At 37.1% G+C, this 21,575-nt stretch overlaps 1 protein-coding gene across 24 annotated transcripts in view; it reads left to right on the plus strand.

The window, feature by feature from the left end:
* Nucleotides 1-21,575, plus strand: part of DNAH14 (dynein axonemal heavy chain 14) — a 469,633-nt gene that overhangs the window by 178,716 nt on the left and 269,342 nt on the right. For 22 of the 24 annotated variants that reach the window (XM_011544062.3, XM_011544067.3, XM_017000296.2 and 19 more), the window contains 4 exons: nucleotides 9,315-9,419; nucleotides 9,512-9,630; nucleotides 10,851-10,925; nucleotides 15,158-15,245. In XM_011544062.3, coding sequence (XP_011542364.1) covers nucleotides 9,315-9,419; nucleotides 9,512-9,630; nucleotides 10,851-10,925; nucleotides 15,158-15,245 — 387 coding nt within the window. Of the gene's footprint in view, nucleotides 1-9,314; nucleotides 9,420-9,511; nucleotides 9,631-10,850; nucleotides 10,926-15,157; nucleotides 15,246-21,575 lie in introns of those variants that run through there. The other 2 variants (XM_017000295.2, XM_017000299.2) reach the window with 2 other exon arrangements.

Below are 21,575 nucleotides of genomic sequence, written 5' to 3' on the forward strand. Positions count from 1 at the left end.
TTCACCTTGTGACCGTGTAAGTCAATACTCCTTAATAAACTCCCTTTCATATATACATCTATCCTATTAGTCCTGTCCCTCTAGAGAACCGTGACTAATACAACCTGGTTGCCATTTGTATGTCTTCTTTTGAGAAATGTCTATTCAGATCTTTTGCCCATTTTAAAATCAGATTATTAAATTTTTATTGCATTTTTTCCTATAGAGCTGTTTGAACTCCATGTATATTCTATTAATAGTTATTAATCCCTTGTCAGATGGATAGTTTAAAAGTATTTTCTCCCATTCTGTGGGTTGTCTCTTCATTATTTTGTTGATTCCTTTGTTGTGCAAAAGCTTTTTAACTTGATATGATCCCATTTGTCCATTTTTCCTGTGGTTGTCTGTGCTCATAAGGTACTACTCAAGAAATCTTTGCCCAGTCTAATAAAATAGAGAATTTCCACAGCGTTTTCTTTTAGTAGTTTAATAGTTTGAGGTCTCAGATTTAAGTGTGAAATCCATTTTAATTTGATTTTTGTATATGGCGAAAGATAGGAGTCTAGTTTTATTCTTCTGCATATAGATATCCAATTTTTCCTGCATCATTTGTTGAGGAACCTGCCCTTTTTCCAATGTATGTTCTTGGCACCTTGGTCAAAAATGAGTTCACTGTAGATGTACGGATTCGTTTCTGGATTTCTCATTCTGTTCCACTGGTCTATGTGTCTGTTTTTATGTGACTAGTTTGCTATTTTGGTTGCTGTAGTTCTGTGATACAGTTTAAAGTCAGGTAATGTGATTCTTCCAGCTTTGTTCTTTTTGCCCAGAATAGCTTTGGATATTCTGGGTCTTTTGTGGCTCAGTATAAATTTTAGGATAGTTTTTCTATTTCTGTGAAGAATGTCATTGGTACTCTGATAGGGACTGCATTGACTCTGTACATTGCTTTGAGTAGTGGGGACATTTTAACAATATTGATTCTTGCAATTCATGTAATATGGAATATCTTTCCATTTTTTGGTGTCCTCATCAATTTCTTGCATCAATGTTTTATATTTTTTATTATAGAGATCTTTCACTTCTTAGGTTGATTCCTAGATACTTAATTTTATGTGTAGCTGTTGTAAATGAGATTACTTTCTTGATTTTTTTTCATATTGTTCACTCTTGGCATATAGAAATGCTACTGATTTTTGTATGTTGATTTTGTATTCTGTAACTTTACTTGTTTATCAGTTCTAATAGTTTTTTGGTGGAGTCTTTAGGTTTTCCCCTATATAAGATCATATCATCTGCAAACAAGGAGAGTTTGACTTCTGCTTTTCCAACTTGGATGCCCTTTGTTTCTTTCTCTTTTCTGATTGCTCCAGCTAGGACTTCCAGTGTTACATTGAATAACAGTGGGGAAACTGGGCACCCTTGGCCTCTATGACCTTCCAGATCTTAGAGGAAAGGCTTTCATTTTCTCCCCATTTAGTGTGATACTAGCTGTGAGTCTGTAATATGTGGCTTTTATTTTGTTGGATATGTTTCTTCTATATTCAGTGTTGAATTTAATCAAATGCTTTATCAGCATCAATTGAAATGATCATATGGTTTTTGTTCTTTATTCTGTTGATATGATGTTTCACACTGATTTATTTGCATATTTTGAACCATCATTGCATCACTGGGATGAATCCCACTTGGTCATGATAAATCACCTTTTAAATGTGTTGTTGACTTTGGTTTGCATGCATTTTGTTGAGGATTTTTGCATCAATTTTCACCAGGGATATGGGCCTGTAGTTTTCTTTTTTAATGTGTCTTTGTCTGCTTTTAGTATCAGGGTAATACCGGCATCACAGAATGAGTTTGGAAGTATTCCTTTCTCTATTTTTTGGAAGACTTTATGAGGATTGGTATTAGTTCTTCTTTAAATATTTGGCAAAATTCAGCAGTGAAGCATCAGGTCCTAGGCTTTTCTTTGCTGGGGGACTTTATTACAGGTTTGATCTCATTACTTGTTATTAGTCTGTTCAGGTTTTATATTTCTTCATGATTCCTTCTTGGTAGGTTGTATGTGTTTAGGAATTTATCCATTCCTACTAGATCTTCCAATTTATTGGCATATAGTTGCTCATAGTAGTCTCTAGTGATCCTTTGAATTTCTGTGGTACTGGTTGTCATGTCTCCTTTTTTATCTCTGATTGTATTTATTTGGGTCTTCTTTCTTTTTTTTTCTTAGTCTGGCTAAAGGTTTGTCAGTTTTCTTTATGTTTTTTTCTAAAAACAACTTTTCATTTTATCTTTTCTATAGTGTAATTTCATTTATTTCAGTTCTGATCTTTATTTTCTTCTACTAATTTTGAGTTTAGTTTGCTCTTTTCTAATTCTTTAAGATGCGTTTTTAAGTTATTTGAAGTTTTTCTACTTTTTTGACATAGACACAGCTATAAACTCCCCTTTTGGTATATCCCATAAGTTTTGGTATGTTGTGTTTCTGTTATTATTTTCCAATTTTCTTCTTAATGTCTTCATTGACACTGACATGGTCATTCAGGAGCATATGGTTTAAATTCCATGTGTTTATATAATTTCCATAATTCCTCTTGTAATTGAATTCTAGTTTTATTCCATTGTGGTCAGAAAAGATACTTGGTATTATTTCAGTGTTTTTGAATGTTTTAAGACTTGTTTTGTGGCCTAACATATCATTCTTTGAAAATGATCCATGGGCTGAGTAGAATGTGCATCCTGCAACCATTGGATGAAATGTTCTGTAAATATCTATTAGGTCCATTTGGTCTATTGTGCAGATTAATTCCAATGTTTCTTTGTTGATTTTCTGTCTGGATGATCTGTCCAGTGCTGAAAGTGGAGTATTGAAGTCTCCAACTATTGGATTGTGGTCTATCTCTCTCTTTAGCTTGAATAATATTTGCTTTATATATCTGGGCCCTTCAGGGTTGGGTGCATTTATATTTATATGCACCTTGCTGAATTGACCCTTCTTATCCTCTTGCTGAATTGACCCTTTTATCATTATGTAATGACTTTCTTTGTCTTTTTATGGTTTTTGTCATGAAATCTAATTTGTGTGATATAAATAGAGCTATTCTTGCTCTTTTTTGGTTTCCATTTGCATGGAATATCTTTTTCCACCCTTTTAGTTTCAGTCTATGTGTGCCTTTATAGGTGAAGTGTGTTTCTTATTGGGAGCAGATTGTTGAGTCTTTTTTTTTAATCTATTCAGCCACTTTATGTCCTATTGGAGAGTTTGGTCCATTTACATTCAGTGTTATCATTCATAAGTAAGGACTTATGCTTGCCATTTTTAAAATTTGTTTTCTGGTTGTTTTGTGGTCTTCTCTTCCTTCTTTCCTTCCCTCCTGTCTTCTTTTTAGTAAAGGTGATTTTCTTTGGTGGCATTTTGTAATTTATTGCTTTTTCTTTTTTATGTATCTATTTTATCTTTTTGGATCTGAGGTTACCATGAGGCTTGCAAATAATATCATGTAACTGTTATTTTAAATTGGTGACAACTTAACACTGATTGCATAAACAAACAAATGAGCAAAAACAAAGCTAATAAAAACTCTGCAGTTTAACTTTGTCCCCCTTTTTAACTTTTTGGTTTTTTCTATTTATACCATATTGTATGATCTATGTCTTGAAAAGTTGTTCTAGTTTTTTTTATTACTTTGTCTTTTAGCCTTTCTACTTAAGATATGAGTAGTTTACACACCACAATTACAGCATTACAATATTTTGTGTTTTTCTGATTGATGGACTCTCTTCAACATTTCTTGTATAACATGTGTCATCTTGGTGAAATCCCTCAGCTTTTATTTGTTTTGAAAATCTGTATGTCCCCTTCCTATTCGAAGGATATTTTGGACAGATATACTATACTAGGGTAAAAGCTTTTTTTCCTTCTGCACTTCAAGTAAGTCATGCCACTCTCTTGGCCTATAAGGTTTCCACTGAAAAGTCTACTGCCAGATATATTGGAGTTCCATTGTGTTTTATTTGTTTCTTTCCTCTTGCTACTTTTAGGATCCTTTCTTTATCCTTGAATTTTGGAAGTTTGAATATTAAATGCCTTGAGGAAGTCTTCTTTGGGTTAAATCTGTTTGGTGTTCTATAACCTTCTTGTACTTCAATACTGATATCTTTCTCTAGGTTTGAGAAGTTTTCTGTTATTATTCATTTCAACCCCTGTCTTCATCTTTACCTTCTCTTTAAGGCCAGTAACTCTTAGCTTTTCTATTTTTAGGCTATGTTTTATTTTTCTAGCTGCTATTTTCTAGATCTTGTAGTCATGCTTTATTCTTTTTTATTCTTTTTTTCTGATGCCTCATCTGTATTTTCAAATAGCCTGTCTTCAAGCTCACTAATTCTCTCTTCTGCTTGATCAATTCTGCTGCTAAGACACTCTGATGCAGTCTTCAGTATGTCAATTGCATTTTTCAAATACAGAATTTCTGCTTGATTCTTTTCAGTTATATCAATTTCTTTGTTAAATTTTTCTGAAAGGATTCTGAATTCCTTTTCTTTGTTATCTTTAATTTCTTTGAGTTTTCTTAACATAGGTATTTTGAATTCTCTATCTGAAAAGTCACATATCTCTGTCACTTTGGGGTTGGTCCCTGGAGGCTTATTTAATTTATTTGGTAAGGTTTTGTTTTCCTGGGTGGTCTTGAGGCTTTGTTGGTGTTGGCATTGAAGAGTTATGTATTTATTGTAGTTTTGCAGTCTGGGCTTGTTTGAACTTATCGTTCTTGGGCAGGCCTTCCAGGTATTTTAAGAAACTTGGCTGTTACTATCTATGTTATTGCTCACTGCAGCTGTATTTTCATTAGGGAGTACCCAAAGCTCAGTAATGCTGTGGTTCTTGCAGACAAGGTACCACCTTGGTGGCCTTGGATAAGATTCAGAAGAATTCTCCAGATTACCAAGCAGAGATTCTTGTTCTCTTCCCTTACTTTTTCCCAAACAATTGAGTCATTCTCTGTGTGCTGAGCTGCCTGGAACTGGTGGAGGGGTGACACAAGCATGCATGTGGCCACCATCACTGGAGCCATGGTGGGTCAGACCTGAAGCCAGCACTGACTGAGGCTTGTGCAAGGTCCACTGTAATCACTACTTGGCTACCGCCTATGTTTGTTCAAGGCCCTAGGGCTGCATAATCAGCAGGTGGTGAAGCCAGCCAGGCTTGTGTTGTTCCCTTAAGAGTAGTGAGTTCCCCCTGGGCCCTGGGTGGTTCCAGAGATGCCATCTGGGAACCAGTATCTATAGTCAGAAACCTTAGAAATATACTTCTTTATTCTACTACACCTGAGCTGGCACTCAAACCACAAGACACAGTCCTTCTCACTCTTCCCTTCCCTTTCCACAGGCAGAGGAGTCTTTCTCCATGGCCCTCACCACCACAAGTCCATAGGGAGTACTGCCGGGGTACCGCTGATGTTCACTAAAGCCCAAGGGCTCTTTAGTTACTTTGTAGTAAATGCTGCCAGGCTTTGGACTCACCCTTGAGGGTAATGGACTCCATTCTAGCCCAGGGCAGGTGCAGAAATGCCATCCAAGAGGCAAGGCCTGGAATCAGAGACCCCAAGTGCCTGCTTGGTGCTCTACCCCATTGTAGCCAAGCTGGTACCTAAGCTGTAAGGCAAAGTCCACTTTACACTTTACACTGTGCTTTTCTCAAGCAAAAGAAGTCTTCCCTCATAGCCAAAACAGCTGGGAACATGTTGGGTCACATATGAAGCCAGAATGTCTCAGAGTCTCACCCAAGGCCCATGGCATGTACTACCTGGCTACTGTTGCTGATTATTCGGGGCCCAAGGGCTGTTTAGTTAGCAGGTGATGAATCCTGCTAGGACTGGATCCTTCTGTTCAAGGCAGCAGGTTCCCTTCTGACCCAGAGTGTGTCTAGAAATGTCATACAAGATCTAGGGCCTAGAATGGGAGCCTCATGACCCTGCCAGGTGCCCTATCCTACTATGGCTGAGCCAGTATCCAAGTTGGAAGAAAAAGTCCTCTTTAGTCTTCCCTCTCCTGTCCTGAAGTGGAGGTAACAAGTCTCTTTTGGAGCTGGGAGCTGTGCTGCCTGGGGTTGGGGGAGAGGTGATGCAAGCTCTCCTTTAGTTGCTTCAGCTGGTGTCTCAATAGATCATGTGTCCCCCCAGTCCACTGGCTCTGAGCCCAGCACGGCACTAGGACTTGCCTAGGACTTGCAGTCTTTATGGCCTATACTGCCTTTCAAGTTTGTTTAGAACCCTAGACCACTTTAGCCCACAGAAGCAAGGCTTACCAAAACTAAAGTTCTGACTGCTGGAATGGATGCTTACCCTCTGGCTAGGGCTGGTCTAAATGTTCCCTCTGTGGGCTTCAGCTGAGTTATGTCCAGTGTTGGCAGCACTGAGTTTCAATGCAAAATCCCACAGTCACTGTGCTCTCTCTCCCCCAAGCACACTCATTCTCTCTCTGTGCCACAAGTCCACCACAGGGGGTGGGGGAAGGGTGGCTTCAGCAATTCAAGACTGTTTTTCCTACTCTCTTAAGTGTCTCTTTCAGCAATATAAAGTTAAAACCAGGTACTATGAATGCTTACCTTTGTATGAAGATGCTTTTTTCATAGAGATAGTTGTTAAATTTGTTATATCTGTGGGGAGCACAATCAGTGGAGGAGTCTATTCAGCCATCTTGCCTTCCTTATCTTTAAGTTGAGAATAATGATAGTGCTACCTTGAGGGGTTTGTCACTGAGATGATGCATTTAAAGCATAAGTGCTGGCAAAAATAATTGCTTTTTCCCTAACAATGGAGTCTCTCTCTGTGTGCTAAGCTGCCTAGAGCTGGCGGAGGGGTGACACAAGCACCCTGTGGCCACCATCACTGGAGCTGTGGTGGGTCAGACGCGAAGCCAGCACAGCACTGAGTCTTGTGCAGGTTAACTATTTTTATTAGCACCATTAAGTTGATAAATTCTGCAAAAGTTGAAACAGAATGTTTTTATGAGTCTATAAATTACTGATTCCATATATTTATACATTCTCAGAACATTAAAGTATAAACTAGACATGTATCCTAAAATACTACATTTTAATTTTTGAGATTTGTGGTGTACATATTCACTTTACTTCATGAACCAAGATTTTTATTCAGGCATTAATTGCTTTTGCTTACTGAACACAAGTAACAGTGGTTGTGATGAGCCCTCCAAAACAACTATAGGCAATCACAGCCTATACAAAATTATCTGCCCATATAGGCCCTCTTCTATTGAAATCTGCACTCTGGAGCAAGCATAAGGGGCTGCAGCCAGATTGATTCTGGTTAATAATAGCCGGTTTACCAAGTCATCGTTGAGATAAGCCTTCCAAATATTTCCAGCACATCTTTAGACTATTACTGAGGATCATTACAAACCAATAGCTTTCCATTTATTCATGTATTGAGCACCATTTTGTATCAGGCACTGCTGCTATGTGTTGGTACTACAAAGATAAAAGACATATTCCCTGCTATTACAGAACTCAAAATCTATTTTAGGAGACAAAAAAAGTAAGGAGATATTACAATGTGATGTATGCTATGATGGGTTGGATGGTATGACCATATAAAAGAGGACAAATTAACCCAGCCTGTAGGCAATGATAACTGGTCTTGAAAGAAATGTAGGTGTTAAATAGATAAAAGAGTTAGATTAGAGAAGGATGGGTAGGTGGGAAGAGTATTTTAGGCAAAGGTAAAAAGTACAAAGACATGGAGCCATGAGCAGGTATGGCACATTCTGGATTTGTAAGCAAGATGGTACAGATAAAACAGGTTGCAGATGGGAAAGTGGTGAGAGATGAGATTCTCCAGTCAGGCAGAGGACAGAGGGTGAAGGGCCTTGAATATCACAATGAGTTTTTACTTTTATAAGTAGCCACTGAAGGATTTTAAATAAGAGAGTGAAATAATTAAATCAGAAATATCTGTCTGGAAAGAAGCATAGAGTGGATTGGGGGCAATGAGAATAGATATTTAAAAATCAGTTAAAAGACTAGAAATATTGGGGGCTAAAGTAAGGCCATGAGGAAGATGAAAGAAGGTAGAGCTTGGAGCATCCGATAGGAAGTAGAGAATAAAAGAAAGAGGTCCCGGGTTATGCCTAGATACGTTTGGTTCATATTGAAAATCTAATACCTACAGGACATTCAAGTGAACATCTTCAGTTAGCAATTGGGTATGTAGATCCAGGGCAGAGAGAAGTGATCTGAGCTGAAGAGCAAGTATGTCTGTATCAAATAGCTCAAGAAGAGCATAATGAGTAGGAAAAGTGATGAGGTTGGAACTTAACAGATGTCAGCATTAAGATGTATGGGTCCAAGAGGGACTTTTGATGGAAAATAATAAGACGTAGCTTAGGGATGGAAGAGAGTGAAACTTTAGAAGTCAAAATGAAGGGCAGAGTCAACAGTATCAAATGCTATGAAAATGTCATGTAACACAAAGACTGAAAAGCTCTCAGTAAATTTGGTAATAGTCAGGGCCAGGTGGCAGAGCACGAGACAACTGAGAGATACAAAGAATCTGACTTCACAAGTTCTTTTCAAGAACTTCGTGGAGAGAAGACAAGCAAGTAGACAGTAGCTAAAGGAGAACAAAGAGAGATGGAGGGCTTCTTATATTGTTATAATGAGAGAAATTTAGGGGGAGGCCTATTGCAAGGGAGAGATTGAAGTTACAAAAGAGTAATAAATAAATCAAGAGTATCTTAGTCTGGCATAAGTTAATGGGTATCTCTTCCTCTGAAAAGAAGGAAAGGATTGAGACTAGTGTTAATGCCTCTAAGTTATAGAAAGGAGTGAGAAATATAGAAATTCTCTATACAGTGAATGTAAAGTTATCTGTGATATGGTAACTTAGTCTATAAAGTGATAACCACACCTATAGGGAAATAAGAGCAGAAAGTCAGAAGTATGGGAAAGCAATGTTGATAATACCAAAATACAATACTTTATTATTTTGATCAATAATAATAATAATTATTATTATTATTGCCTGCTCCCAGGCAATAATGACAAACTAGAATAAAATGGTATATGTGTGTCTAAGGGTGGGGTTTTCTTGTTTATTTTGATTTTGGTTTCATTTGTTTTAGTTTAGCTTTATTAAACTTTTTTTTAGCAATTTAAGTATCACTTTCATTAAGCATGGAATGTTATTTTAACTGATACTACTATATATACCATAACTAATATTGTGGCTTTTGTTTGTAAGTATAGGTCAAAATGAGGATGTAATTCATATCATAATTAAGCATATATTCTGAATTGCATTTCTTTTGATTCTGGACAGGATTACCTTGAAGTTAAAAGATTAATTTTCCCAAGATTTTACTTTCTTAGCAATGCCGAGCTTCTTGATATTCTAGCTGATAGCAGAAATCCTGAGTCTGTACAGGTAATAACATCTTTCTCTGCTCAGCAATATTATATTAGCGATATTCAGATCACAATTCAATAATATTACTGACATTTGTTTCTGGTTCACAGCCTCATCTTGTGAAATGCTTTGAAAATATAAAACAATTATTGATATGGAAACAAGACATTGGCCCTCCTGCTGTAAAAATGCTAATATCTGCTGAAGGGGAAGGTCTCGTGCTGCCAAAGTATGATAAATGTTACAAACTGTTTAGATTCTGTACAACGTCATTATTTAAAATCTCTGCTTTGAAATTTTTGATATATTATAAAAGTGCGCTAAGCAAACTGTTTCTTCAAAGATTATATCCTTACGTAAATATACTTTTGCCTTTCCATATTCCCTACAATACATAATCTCACCTTTGCTCTAATTAAAAGTTGAGAAAGCAGTCTTCAAACTCCTGGGTGCATTCTAATTTGCACTTACATTTTGTTCTGTCATTAAATTCTGCCTTAAGTTTCCTACTCTCTTTTTAGTGCTTTTTCCCTTTTTGGTTTTAGTATATGAATATAGATAAGAAGAAAATTGGCTATTTGGAGTTGTTGATGCTACTCCCACTACTGCTTCTGCTGATCTCTGGTTTCACTGTGGTTTGCTCCCAGGCAATAATGACAAACTAGGTCCTTCCATTACACTGGTTCAATTTGCCAGCCCCAGCAAGGGCTCTCTAACCTTTGGCAAGTGGTCCTGATGTAAGTTGATTTTTAAAAAAATGCTGTGCCCAACCCTTCTTATCTACCAAAATCCCTATTCCAACCCTGCTGTTTAAAAGATCCAGTGAGGAAGGCCGGGTGCAGTGGCTCAAGCCTGTAATCCCGACACTTTGGGAGGCCGAGGCAGGTGAATTACCCAAGGTCAGGAGTTTGAGACCAGCCTGACTAACATGGTGAAACCCTATCTCTACTAAAAATACAAAAATTAGCTGATCGTGGTGGCAGGCACCTGTAATCCCAGCTACTTGGGGGGCTGGGACAGGAGAATCACTTGAACCCAGGAGGTGGAGGTTGCAGTGACCCAAGGTGGCACCATTGCACTCCAGCCTGGGTGACAGAACGAGACTCTCTCTGTCTCAAAAAAAAAAAAAAAAAAGAAAAGAAAAATTCCAGTGAGGAATCCAAAACTGTTTTATAACACAATTTGTTTATCTTGTAAATACCATTTTACATGAAACTTATTTATTGTGTAAATTCATGATTTTGATATCAGAATTTCCTAAAGCATGTTCATATGTTTTCTGCATAGTTTTCAAAATTAAGATTTAGAAAAACCAAAAGGCAGTAGTAGTCCTTTGGCCCATGAATATTATTAAAGTATGTAGAAAATTTAGTCTACAGGCTTGTCAAAGGACTGAAACATGAATTAAAAAATAATTCTTCATGATATTATTTTTGAAACTAATTTTAGGAAAATTCGTGTAAGAAGTGCTGTAGAACAGTGGCTGGTAAATGTAGAAAAAAGCATGTTCGATGTGCTAAAAAAGTAAGTACAATTTTCAAATCCTAAAATTATATATTTTATATATATACTTGCACATATATATATACACACACATTTTTTAAAACTCACTTATCTACTAATCTAAGTGAGAAATATCCAGAAAAGAATATGGAGTCAAATCTCTTATGAAATGGGTTTTAATGGAACATGATGACACATGATGACTAAATGGAAAATAATCACTTTTACAGTGTAACTGTCAGTTTGAGAGTGTTTACATGCACAACCTTCAGATGGCTTTTGTGTACGTTGAGATTCAGCTGTATCAGAAAACTGTTCAGGATCTGAACTCTGCTCAGTAGGGCTCCCGTTTGAGCACACCTCACTACTTTGCATTTTGGTTCTACTTTTACTTCCTAGGATTGTTTACTTGGCTTACTCTTTCTAACGTTCTCCTTTTCATATTTAAGTCTATCATTGCATCTGTTTAGAATGAAGAAAAAAACCTCAGAGCGTGAACTTTCAAAACTAACTTGACTAGAACTGTTATATTGTATTTCTAATTATTCATTGTTGGTAATAGAAAGGCTATTGACTTTTAGGTTTTTATATCTATAGTTGTTAATATTATTCTGAAGGCCAATACAAGGTTTCTAGAGCAGAGAAGATTATGATTTACTTACATAAATAACCATTCTGGCTCTCCTTTTCTTCAATTCTTGTAACCACCCAGTGGGTTCACCTTGCCTGCTGCCTAGACAGAGCCAATTTATCAAGACAGGGGAAATGCAGTGGAGAAAGAGTAATTCACACAAGCCAGCTGTATAGGAGACCAGTTTTATTATTACTCAACTCAGTCTCCTGGAGAATTCAGGGATCAGAGTTTTTAAGGATAATTTGGCAGGTAGGGGCTCCAGAAGTGGGGAGTACTGATTGGTCAGGTTGGAGATGGAATCATAGCGGGGGTCAAAGTGAGCTTTTCTTGCTGTCTTCTGTTCCTGGATGGGATCCCAGAACTGATTGAGCCAGATTACCAGACTGGGTGGTGTCAGCTGATCCATCAAGTGCAGGGCCAGCAAAATATCTCAAGCACTGATCTTAGGCTTCACAATAGTGATATTATTCCCAGGAAAAATTTTGGGAGGTTCAGACTTGCAGCAAGAGGCTGCATGACCCCTAAACCGTAATTTCTAATCTTGTAGATAATTTGTTAATCCTACAAAGGCAGACTGGTCCCCAGGCAAGACAGGAGTCTTTTCAGGAAAGGGCTGTTGCCGGTTTTGTTTGAGTCAAATTGTAAACTAAATTCCTTCCCAAGGTTGGTTCAGCCTATACCCAGGAATGAAAAAGGACAGTTTAAAGGTTAGAAGCAAGATGAAGTTAGTTGCGTCTGATCTCTTTCAGTGTCATAATGTCCTAAGTTACAATTTTTGCAAATGCAGTTTCAGTCTTACCCCTGGGGTGATATGATAAGAACCAGAGTTACCTTGTATGTAAAGAGAGACTTCTGTAGGCAAGAAACCCTGAAAAAATGAATCTGGGCATTTAAGCAAAAAAGACAAGCAGTTTTTCAATTGTTGTCCTGGGATTTTTCTGGTTAGACAATTATATCATTTGCTAACAATGATAGTCCTATCTCTTCCTTTGCAATTCTTTTTAAAATGCCATTTTTTCATGTTATTTTAGATGCAAATTTTATTTAACATCGAAAAGTACAACTGACAGCATCCTTTTTTTGTTCTTAATTTTATTGGAAAAGCTTCTAGTGTTTGACCATAATGCATAGGTTTCTGGAATATACGCCTTATCCAACTAAAGATATTTCATCCTATTCATAGTTTGCAGAGTTTTAAAGAGATTTAATTTATTTTTAATTTTTAATTGAGAAATAATAATTGTATCTATTATGGCATACATTGTGATGTTTTGATACATGTACACAATGTAAAATGATTGATTCAAGCTAATTAAAATACTCATCACCTCACATGCTTATTTTTTATGGTGAAAACATTTCAAGTTTACTTTTAGCTATTGCGAAACATACATTATTATTAACTATAGTGACCTGCTGTGCAGTAGATCGCTAAAATTTATTCCTAGTCTAACTGAAACTTTGTATCCTTAGACTAACTTCTCCCCTTTCCTCATCCCTCCCCACTTTCACCCTCTGGTTAACACCATTCTACTCTCTACTTCTGTGAATAGAGAATGTTTTTTAGATTCTCCATATAAATGAGATCATACAATATTCATCTTTCTTGGCCTGGCTTATTTCACTTAGCATACATAATGTCCTCCAGGGTTATTCATGTTGTCATAAGTGATAGAATTTACCTCTTTTTTGGGAGGCCGAGGTGGGTGGATCCCCTGAGATCAGGAGTTTGAGACCAGCCTGGCCAACATGGTGAAACCCTGTCTCTACTAAAAATACAAAATTTAGCCAGGCATGGTGATGCACACCTGTAGTCCCAGCTACTTGGGAGGCTGAGGCAGGAGAATCCCTTGAACCCGGGAGGCGGAGGTTGCAGTGAGCTGAGATTGTGCCACTGCACTCCAGCCTGGGTGACAGAGCGAGACTCCATCTCAAATTAAATAAATAAATAAATAAATAGAAATAAATAATAAATAAATAATTAAATAATTTTTTTCTAAAGAGAATGTACAAGTACATTCATCAAATGTAACAGATCGTTGGCAGTACTTTATCTTACCAGAAAACATCAATAGAAGATTTTTATACTCCTAAGTCATAGGTCTCACCTGGCTGAGTGATTGTCAGACATCATTAATTATAAGATGCTTTCTGATTCCAAAAAGATTAAAATGTAGAAAAAAAGTTCTGCCTTAGAATTGATGATGTAATTATTTTAAAGTTTTCTTCCCTCTCCTTTTATTTTAAAGTTAGTACCGCTTTATTTTAGTTTGGGGCTATGGACTTGTGTTCTTTTTGATGGTACTAGTTTTTCTAAAATAGCTGGTCATTCTTGGTTATCTTTTCATATTTATACTGGTGAGTCCCTCTTCTAAAAGCAAATACTAGTTTCTAACTACAACAACCTATATGCCGTGGTTGCAACTGACAAGCAGGGCATGTGGAAGGACCTAGTCTGTGAGTAACTTGCCTTTTAGTGCATGAAGTTCCTTCCCATTTCTCCTGGAGGTCACAAACTACTTGTGACACTCTACTGTGCCTCTAGGTCAGCACGTTTTAAGTATTCCATATACTTATAGTATATCAATGCGAGTGTGCAGTAAGATCTTCATTAAAAGATTTTGTCAAAAGAGAAATGTAACTATATGTTGTTTGAGAGATGTATAGCAATGTGACAAAAAAGTTATGAATAAAAGTCATAAGGACTTTTCATGGAACTGCCAACAAAAAGTGTTTAAAAATAAAATTAAGTTCCAAAGGTATTAAATAAAATAAAGAATCATTTGTAGTTGATGGAAGAGACATTTCACACTGATACTGCTTTGAAATGTATAAAAAGTTGTTATTGACATATTTCTCCTCATCAGCAATGATAAAAAAACAAAAATAGATACCATTTGCAAGCACAACAAAAATTAAAAGGTTCAGTACTTCATTTCAAATATTCAAATACATTCTAAATGAATTTTAGAGTGATACCTAAGAAAGAAAGCCAAATTAGAAGAAAATAAAATGAAATTTAGTGTTGAGAATTTCTAAGAGATATAGTATCAATGATTTAAAAAAATGTATCATTGACCGATTTGACTATAAGGAAACTTAAAACTCCATATGGAAAAAAATGACAACATTGAAACCTATACTGTTGGTGCACATTAACTGTTGTCTTAAATAAAATTGTCTGGATATTTTTCATGAATCCTATTCTGTCCATTATAATTAATTTTAAAAGCTACATGCAGGGCTTTACTGTTACTCATCTGGTAGTTTCAGCCCAGTATTCCATTTTGTAGAAATTATTTCAAATATAGATTTTGTCATAAATACTATTAGCAATTCAGAGCTAATATGCGTCATCTCTTTTTATATATTTTTACCATCTCAGAAACTCAATGGCCTTATTAGAAAAGTACAGATAATCTCAAAAAGGAATTTAAGGAGTATGCATTATGCTTCGATTAAGGCTCTGTTACCTTTATTTGGTCTGATTTCTACGTTAGAACAAAGAAATCAGAGATCTTAAAGGAAAACTCCCCTGTGACCTCGTCATGCTTGGTCATTAAATGGCCACAATCAATGATTAAGTATAAATAACATAAATAAATTTTTTAATTTGTAGATTTTTAAGTCAAGGGATTGAAGACTGGAACTGCCAGATGTTTTCCCAATGGGTGTTATCTCATCCAGGACAAGTGGTACTTACTGTGGTAAGTTAATGCTGCTTTGATGTATGTATACAGGGACACCTTGGAGATATTGCAGGTTCAATTTCAGACCACTGTAATAAAGAGGATATTCCAATAAAGTGAGTCACATGATTTTTTTTCCCCTAGGGCCTATAACAGTTATGTTTACACTATCCTGTAGTCTTTTTTTTTTCTGTCACCCAGGCTGGAGTGCAGTGGTACAATCTCAGCTCACTGCAGCCTCCGCCTCCCAGGTTCAAGTGATTCTGCTGCCTCAGCCTCCTGAGTAGCTGGGTCTACAGGTGTGCACCACCATGCCTGGCTAATTTTTGTATTTTTAGTAGAGATGGGGTTTTGTAATGTTGGCCAGGCTGGTCTTGAACTCCTGACCTCAGGTGATCTGCCCACCTCAGCCTCCCAAAGTGCTAGGATTACAGGAGTGAGCCACCATGCCTGGCCTCCTGTAGTCTGTTAACTGTACAATAGAGTTCTGTCTAAAAAATGTGCATGCCTTAATTAAAAATACTTTATTACTAAAAAATGCTAACAATCATCTGAGCCTTCAGCAAGTCATAATATTGTTGCTGGTGGAGGGTATTTCCTAGATTTTGATGGTTGCTGACCGATCAGGGTGGTGGTTGCTGAAGGTTAGGATGGCTGTGGCAATTTCTTAAAATTAGATAACAATGAAGTTTGCCACATGGCTTGACTCTTCCTTTCCCAAAAGATTTCTTTGTAGCGTGCGATGCTTTCTGCTAGCACTTTGCCCACAATGGAAATTCTTTCAAAATTGGAGTCAATTCTCTCAAACTCTGCCGCTGCTTTATCAACTAAGTTTATGTAATATACTAAATCCTTTTTTGTCATTTCAATAATGTTCACAGCAACTTCATCAGGAGTAGATTCCATCTCAAGAAACAACTTTCTTTGCTCATCCATAAGAGGCAACTTGTCTTCCATTCAAGTTTTTTCATGAGATTGCAGCAAATTCCGTCACATCTTCAGGCTCCACTTTTAATTCTAGTTCTCTTGCTATTTCCACCACATCTACAGTTACTTCCACTGAAGTCTTGAACCCCTTAAAGTCGTCCATGAGAGTTGAAATCAACTTCTTTCAAAGTCCCATTAATGTGGCTATTTTGACCTTCTTCCATGAATATGAATATTCTTAATGGCATCTAGGATGGTGAATCCTTTCCAGAAGGTTTTCTATTTACTTTGCCTAGATCCATCAGAGGAATCACTATCTATGGAAGCTATAGCCTTATGAAATGTATTTCTTAAATAATAAGCCTTGAAAGTCAAAAGTACTCATTGACCCATGGGCTACAGAATGGATGTTTTGTTATCAGGCATGAAAACAACATTAATCTCCTTGTACATCTCCATCAGAACTCTTGGGTGACTGGATGTGTTGTTAGTGAGCAGTAATATTTTGAAAGGAATCTTTTTTTCTTAACAGTAGGTCCCAACAGTGGGCTTAAAATATTCAGTAAACCATGCTGAAAACAGATGTGCTGTCATCCAGGCCTTGTTGTTCCATTTGTAGAGCAGGGGCAGAGTAGATTAAGCATACATAATTCTTAAGGGTCCTAGGATTTTCAAAACGGTAAGTGAGCATTGGCTTCAATTTAGAGTCACAGGTTGCATTAGCCTCTAACAAGAGAATCAGCCTGTCATTTGAAGCTTTGAAGCCAGGTATTGACTTCTCTCCAACTACAAAAGTCTTGGATGGCCTCTTCTTCCAATAGAAGGCTATCTCATCTACCTTGAAAATCTGTTGTTCAGTGTATCCACTTTCATCAATTATGTTAACCTAGTTCTTCTGGATAACTTACTGCAGCTTCCACATCAGCACTTGCTACTTACCTTTGCACTTTTACATTACTGAGACAGCTTCTTTCCTTAAATCTCATGAGCCAACTTCTGCTAGCTTTCAACTTTTCTTCTGCAGCATTCCTTATCTCTCTCAGTCTTCACAGAATTGAAAAGAGTTAGAGCCTTGCTCTGGATTAGTCTTTTTCTTAAGGAAATGTTATGGCTGGTTTGATCTTCTATCCAGACCACTAAAATTTTCTCCAAAACAGCAGTAAGGCTGTTTTGCTTTCTTACCATTAGTGTGTTCACAGGAGTAGCACTTTTAATTTTCTTCAAGAATTTTTTTCCTTTGCATCCACAACTTGACTGTTTGGCAGAAGAGGCCTAGCTTTCAGCCTGTTTTGGCTTTTGGCATGCCTTCCTTATTAAGCTTAATCATCTCTAGCTTTTAATTTTAAGAGAAGGATGTGCAACAGTTCTTTTTACTTGAACACTTAGAGACCATTGTAAGGTTATTGGTTGGCCTAAATTCAACATTATTGTGTCTCAGGGATTAGGGAGACCGAAGAAGAAGGAGAGAGATGGGGGAATGACTATTTGGTGAAGAAGATAAGACACAAACAGCATTTATCAATTAAGTTTGCTGTCTTACATGGGCATCATTTGTTGTCCTCCCAAACAATTACAATAGTAACATCCAAGATCATTAATTGCAGATCACCATAACAGATATAATAATGAAAAGGTTGGAAATATTCTGAGAATTACCAAAATGTGACGCAGAGACATGGAGTGAACACATACTATTGGAAAAAATGACACTGATAGACTTGCTCAATGCAGGGTTACCACAAATCTTCAATTTGAAAAAAATGCAGTTCCTCCTTGTACCTCTGGTAGAATTCGGCTGTGAATCCATCTGGTCCTGGACTCCTTTTGGTTGGAAGCTGTTGATTATTGCCACAATTTCAGATCCTGTTCTTGGTCTATTTAGAGATTCAACTTCTTCCTGGTTTAGTCTTGGAAGAGTGTATGTGTCGAGGAATTTATCCATTTCTTCTAGATTTTCTAGTTTATTTGCATAGAGCTGTTTGTAGTATTCTCTGATGGTAGTTTGTATTTCTGTGGGATTGGTGGTGATATCCCCTTTATCATTTTTTATTGCTTCTATTTGATTCTTCTCTCTTTTTTTCTTTATTAGTCTTGCTAGCGGTCTATCAATTTTGTTGATCCTTTCAAAAAACCAGCTCCTGGATTCATTAATTTTTTGAAGGGTTTTTTATGTCTCTCTTTACTACAGTTCTGCTCTGATTTTAGGTATTTCTTCCCTTCTGCAAGCTTTTGAATGTGTTTGCTCTTGCTTTTCTAGTTCTTTTAATTGTGATGTTAGGGTGTCAATTTTGGATCTTTCCTGCTTTCTCTTGTGGGCATTTAATGCTATAAATTTCCCTCTACACACTGCTTTGAATGTGTCCCAGAGATTCTGGTATGTTGTGTCTTAGTTCTCGTTGGTTTCAAAGAACATCTTTATTTCTGCCTTCATTTCGTTATGTACCCAGTAGTCATTCAGGAGCAGGTTGTTCAGTTTCCATGTAGTTGAGCGGTTTTGAGTGAGTTTCTTAATCCTGAGTTCTAGTTTGATTGCACTGTGGTCTGAGAGACAGTTTGTTATAATTTCTGTTCTTTTACATTTGCTGAGGAGAGCTTTACTTCCAACTATGTGGTCAATTTTGGAATAAGTGCAGTGTGGTGCTGAGAAGAATGTATATTCTGTTGATTTGGGGTGGAGAGTTCTGTAGATGTCTATTAGGTCCACTTGGTGCAGAGCTGAGTTCAATTCCTGGATATCCTTGTTAACTTTCTGTCTCGTTGATCTGTCTAATGTTGACAGTGGGGTGTTAAAGTCTCCCATTATTATTGTGTGGGAGTCTAAGTCTCTTTGTAGGTCACTCAGGACTTGCTTTATGAATCTGGGTGCTCCTGTATTGGGTGCATATATATTTAGGATAGTTAGCTCTTCTTGTTGAATTGATCCCTTTACCATTATGTAATGGCCTTCTTTGTCTCCTTTGATCTTTGTTGGTTTAAATTCTGTTTTATCAGAGACTAAGATTGCAACCCCTGCCTTTTTTTCTTTTCCATTTGCTTGGTATATCTTCCTCCATCCTTTTATTTTGAGCCTATGTGTGTCTCTGCACGTGAGATGGGTTTCCTGAATACAGCACACTGATGGTTCTTGACTCTTTATCCAATTTGCCAGTCTGTGTCTTTTAATGGGAGCGTTTAGTCCATTTACATTTAAAGTTAATATTGTTATGTGTGACTTTGATCCTGTCATTATGATGTTAGCTGGTTATTTTGCTCATTAGTTGATGCAGTTTCTTCCTAGTCTCGATGATCTTTACATTTTGGCATGATTTTGCAGCGGCTGGTAACAGTTGTTCCTTTCCATGTTTAGTGCTTCCTTCAGGAGCTCTTTTAGGGCAGGCCTGGTGGTGACAAAATCTCTCAGCATTTGCTTGTCTGTAAAGGATTTTATTTCTCTTTCACTTATGAAACTTAGTTTGGCTGGATATGAAATTCTAGGTTGAAAATTCTTTTCTTTAAGAATGTTGAATATTGGCCCCCACTCTCTTCTGGCTTGCAGAGTTTCTGCCGAGAACTCTGCTGTTAGTCTAATGGGCTTCCCTTTGTGGGTAACCCGACCGTTCTCTCTGGCTGTCCTTAACATTTTTTCCTTCATTTCAACTTTGGTGAATCTGACAATTGTGTCTTGGAGTTGCTTTTCTTGAGGAGTATCTTTGTGGTGTTCTCTGTGTTTCCTGAATCTGAATGTTGGCCTGCATTCCTTCTGAAACTATTCCAATCAATACAAAAAGAAGGAATCCTCCCTAACTCATTTTATGAGGCCAGCATCATCCTGATACCAAAGCTGGGCAGAGACACAACCAAAAAAGAGAATTTTAGACCAATATCCTTGATGAACATCGATGCAAAAATCCTCAATAAAATACTGGCAAACCGAATCCAGCAGCACATCAAAAAGCTTCTCCACCATGATCAAGTGGGCTTCATGCCTGGGATGCAAGGCTGGTTCAATATACGCAAATCAATAAATGTAATCCAGCATATAAACAGAACCAAAGACAAAAACCACATGATTATCTCAATAGATGCAGAAAAGGCCTTTGACAAAATTCAACAACACTTCATGCTAAAAACTCTCAATAAATTAGGTATTGATGGGACGTATCTCAAAATAATAAGAGCTATCTATGACAAACCCACAGCCAATATCGTACTGAATGGGCAAAACCTGGAAGCATTCCCTTTGAAAACTGGCACAAGACAGGGATGCCCTCTCTCACCACTCCTATTCAACACAGTGTTGGAAGTTCTGGCCAGGGCAATCAGGCAGGAGAATGAAATAAAGAGTATTCAATTAGGAAAAGAAGAAGTCAAATTGTCCCTGTTTGCAGATGACATGATTGTATATCTAGAAAACCCCATTGTCTCAGCCCAAAATCTCCTTAAGCTGATAAGCAACTTCAGCAAAGTCTCAGGATACAAAATCAATGCACAAAAATCACAAGCATTCTTATACACCAATAACAGACAAACAGAGAGCCAAATCATGAGTGAACTCCCATTCACAATTGCTTCAAAGAGAATAGAATACCTAGGAATCCAACTTACAAGGGATGTGAAGGACCTCTTCAAGGAGAACTACAAACCACTGCTCAATGAAATAAAAGAGGATACAAACAAATGGAAGAACATTCCATGCTCATGGATAGGAAGAATCAATATCATGAAAATGGCCATACTGCCCAAGGTAATTTATAGATTCAATGCCATCCCCATCAAGCTACCAATGACTTTCTTCACAGAATTGGAAAAAACTACTTTAAAGTTCTTATGGAACCAAAAAAGAGCCCGCATCACCAAGTCAATCCTAAGCCAAAAGAACAAAGCTGGAGGCATCACGCTACCTGACTTCAAACTATACTACAAGGCTACAGTAACCAAAACAGCATGGTACTGGTACCAAAACAGAGATATAGATCAATGGAACAGAACAGAGCCCTCAGAAATAATGCCGCATATCTACAACCATCTGATCTTTGAGAAACCTGATAAAAACAAGCAATGTGGAAAGGATTCCCTATTTAATAAATGGTGCTGGGAAAACTGGCTAGCCATATGTAGAAAGCTGAAACTGGATCCCTTCCTTACACCTTATACAAAAATTAATTCAAGATGGATTAAAGACTTAAACGTTAGACCTAAAACCATAAAAACCCTAGAAGAAAACCTAGGCATTACCATTCAGGACATAGGCATGGGCAAGGACTTCATGTCTAAAACACCAAAAGCAATGGCAACCAAAGCCAAAATTGACAAATGGAATCTAATTAAACTAAAGAGCTTCTGCACAGCAAAAGAAACTACCATCAGAGTGAATAGGCAATCCACAAAATGGGAGAAAATTTTTGCAACCTACTCATCAGACAAAGGGCTAATATCCAGAAT

Source organism: Homo sapiens, chromosome 1, assembly GCF_000001405.40.
Source record: "Homo sapiens chromosome 1, GRCh38.p14 Primary Assembly".
Lineage (NCBI taxonomy): Eukaryota > Metazoa > Chordata > Mammalia > Primates > Hominidae > Homo > Homo sapiens.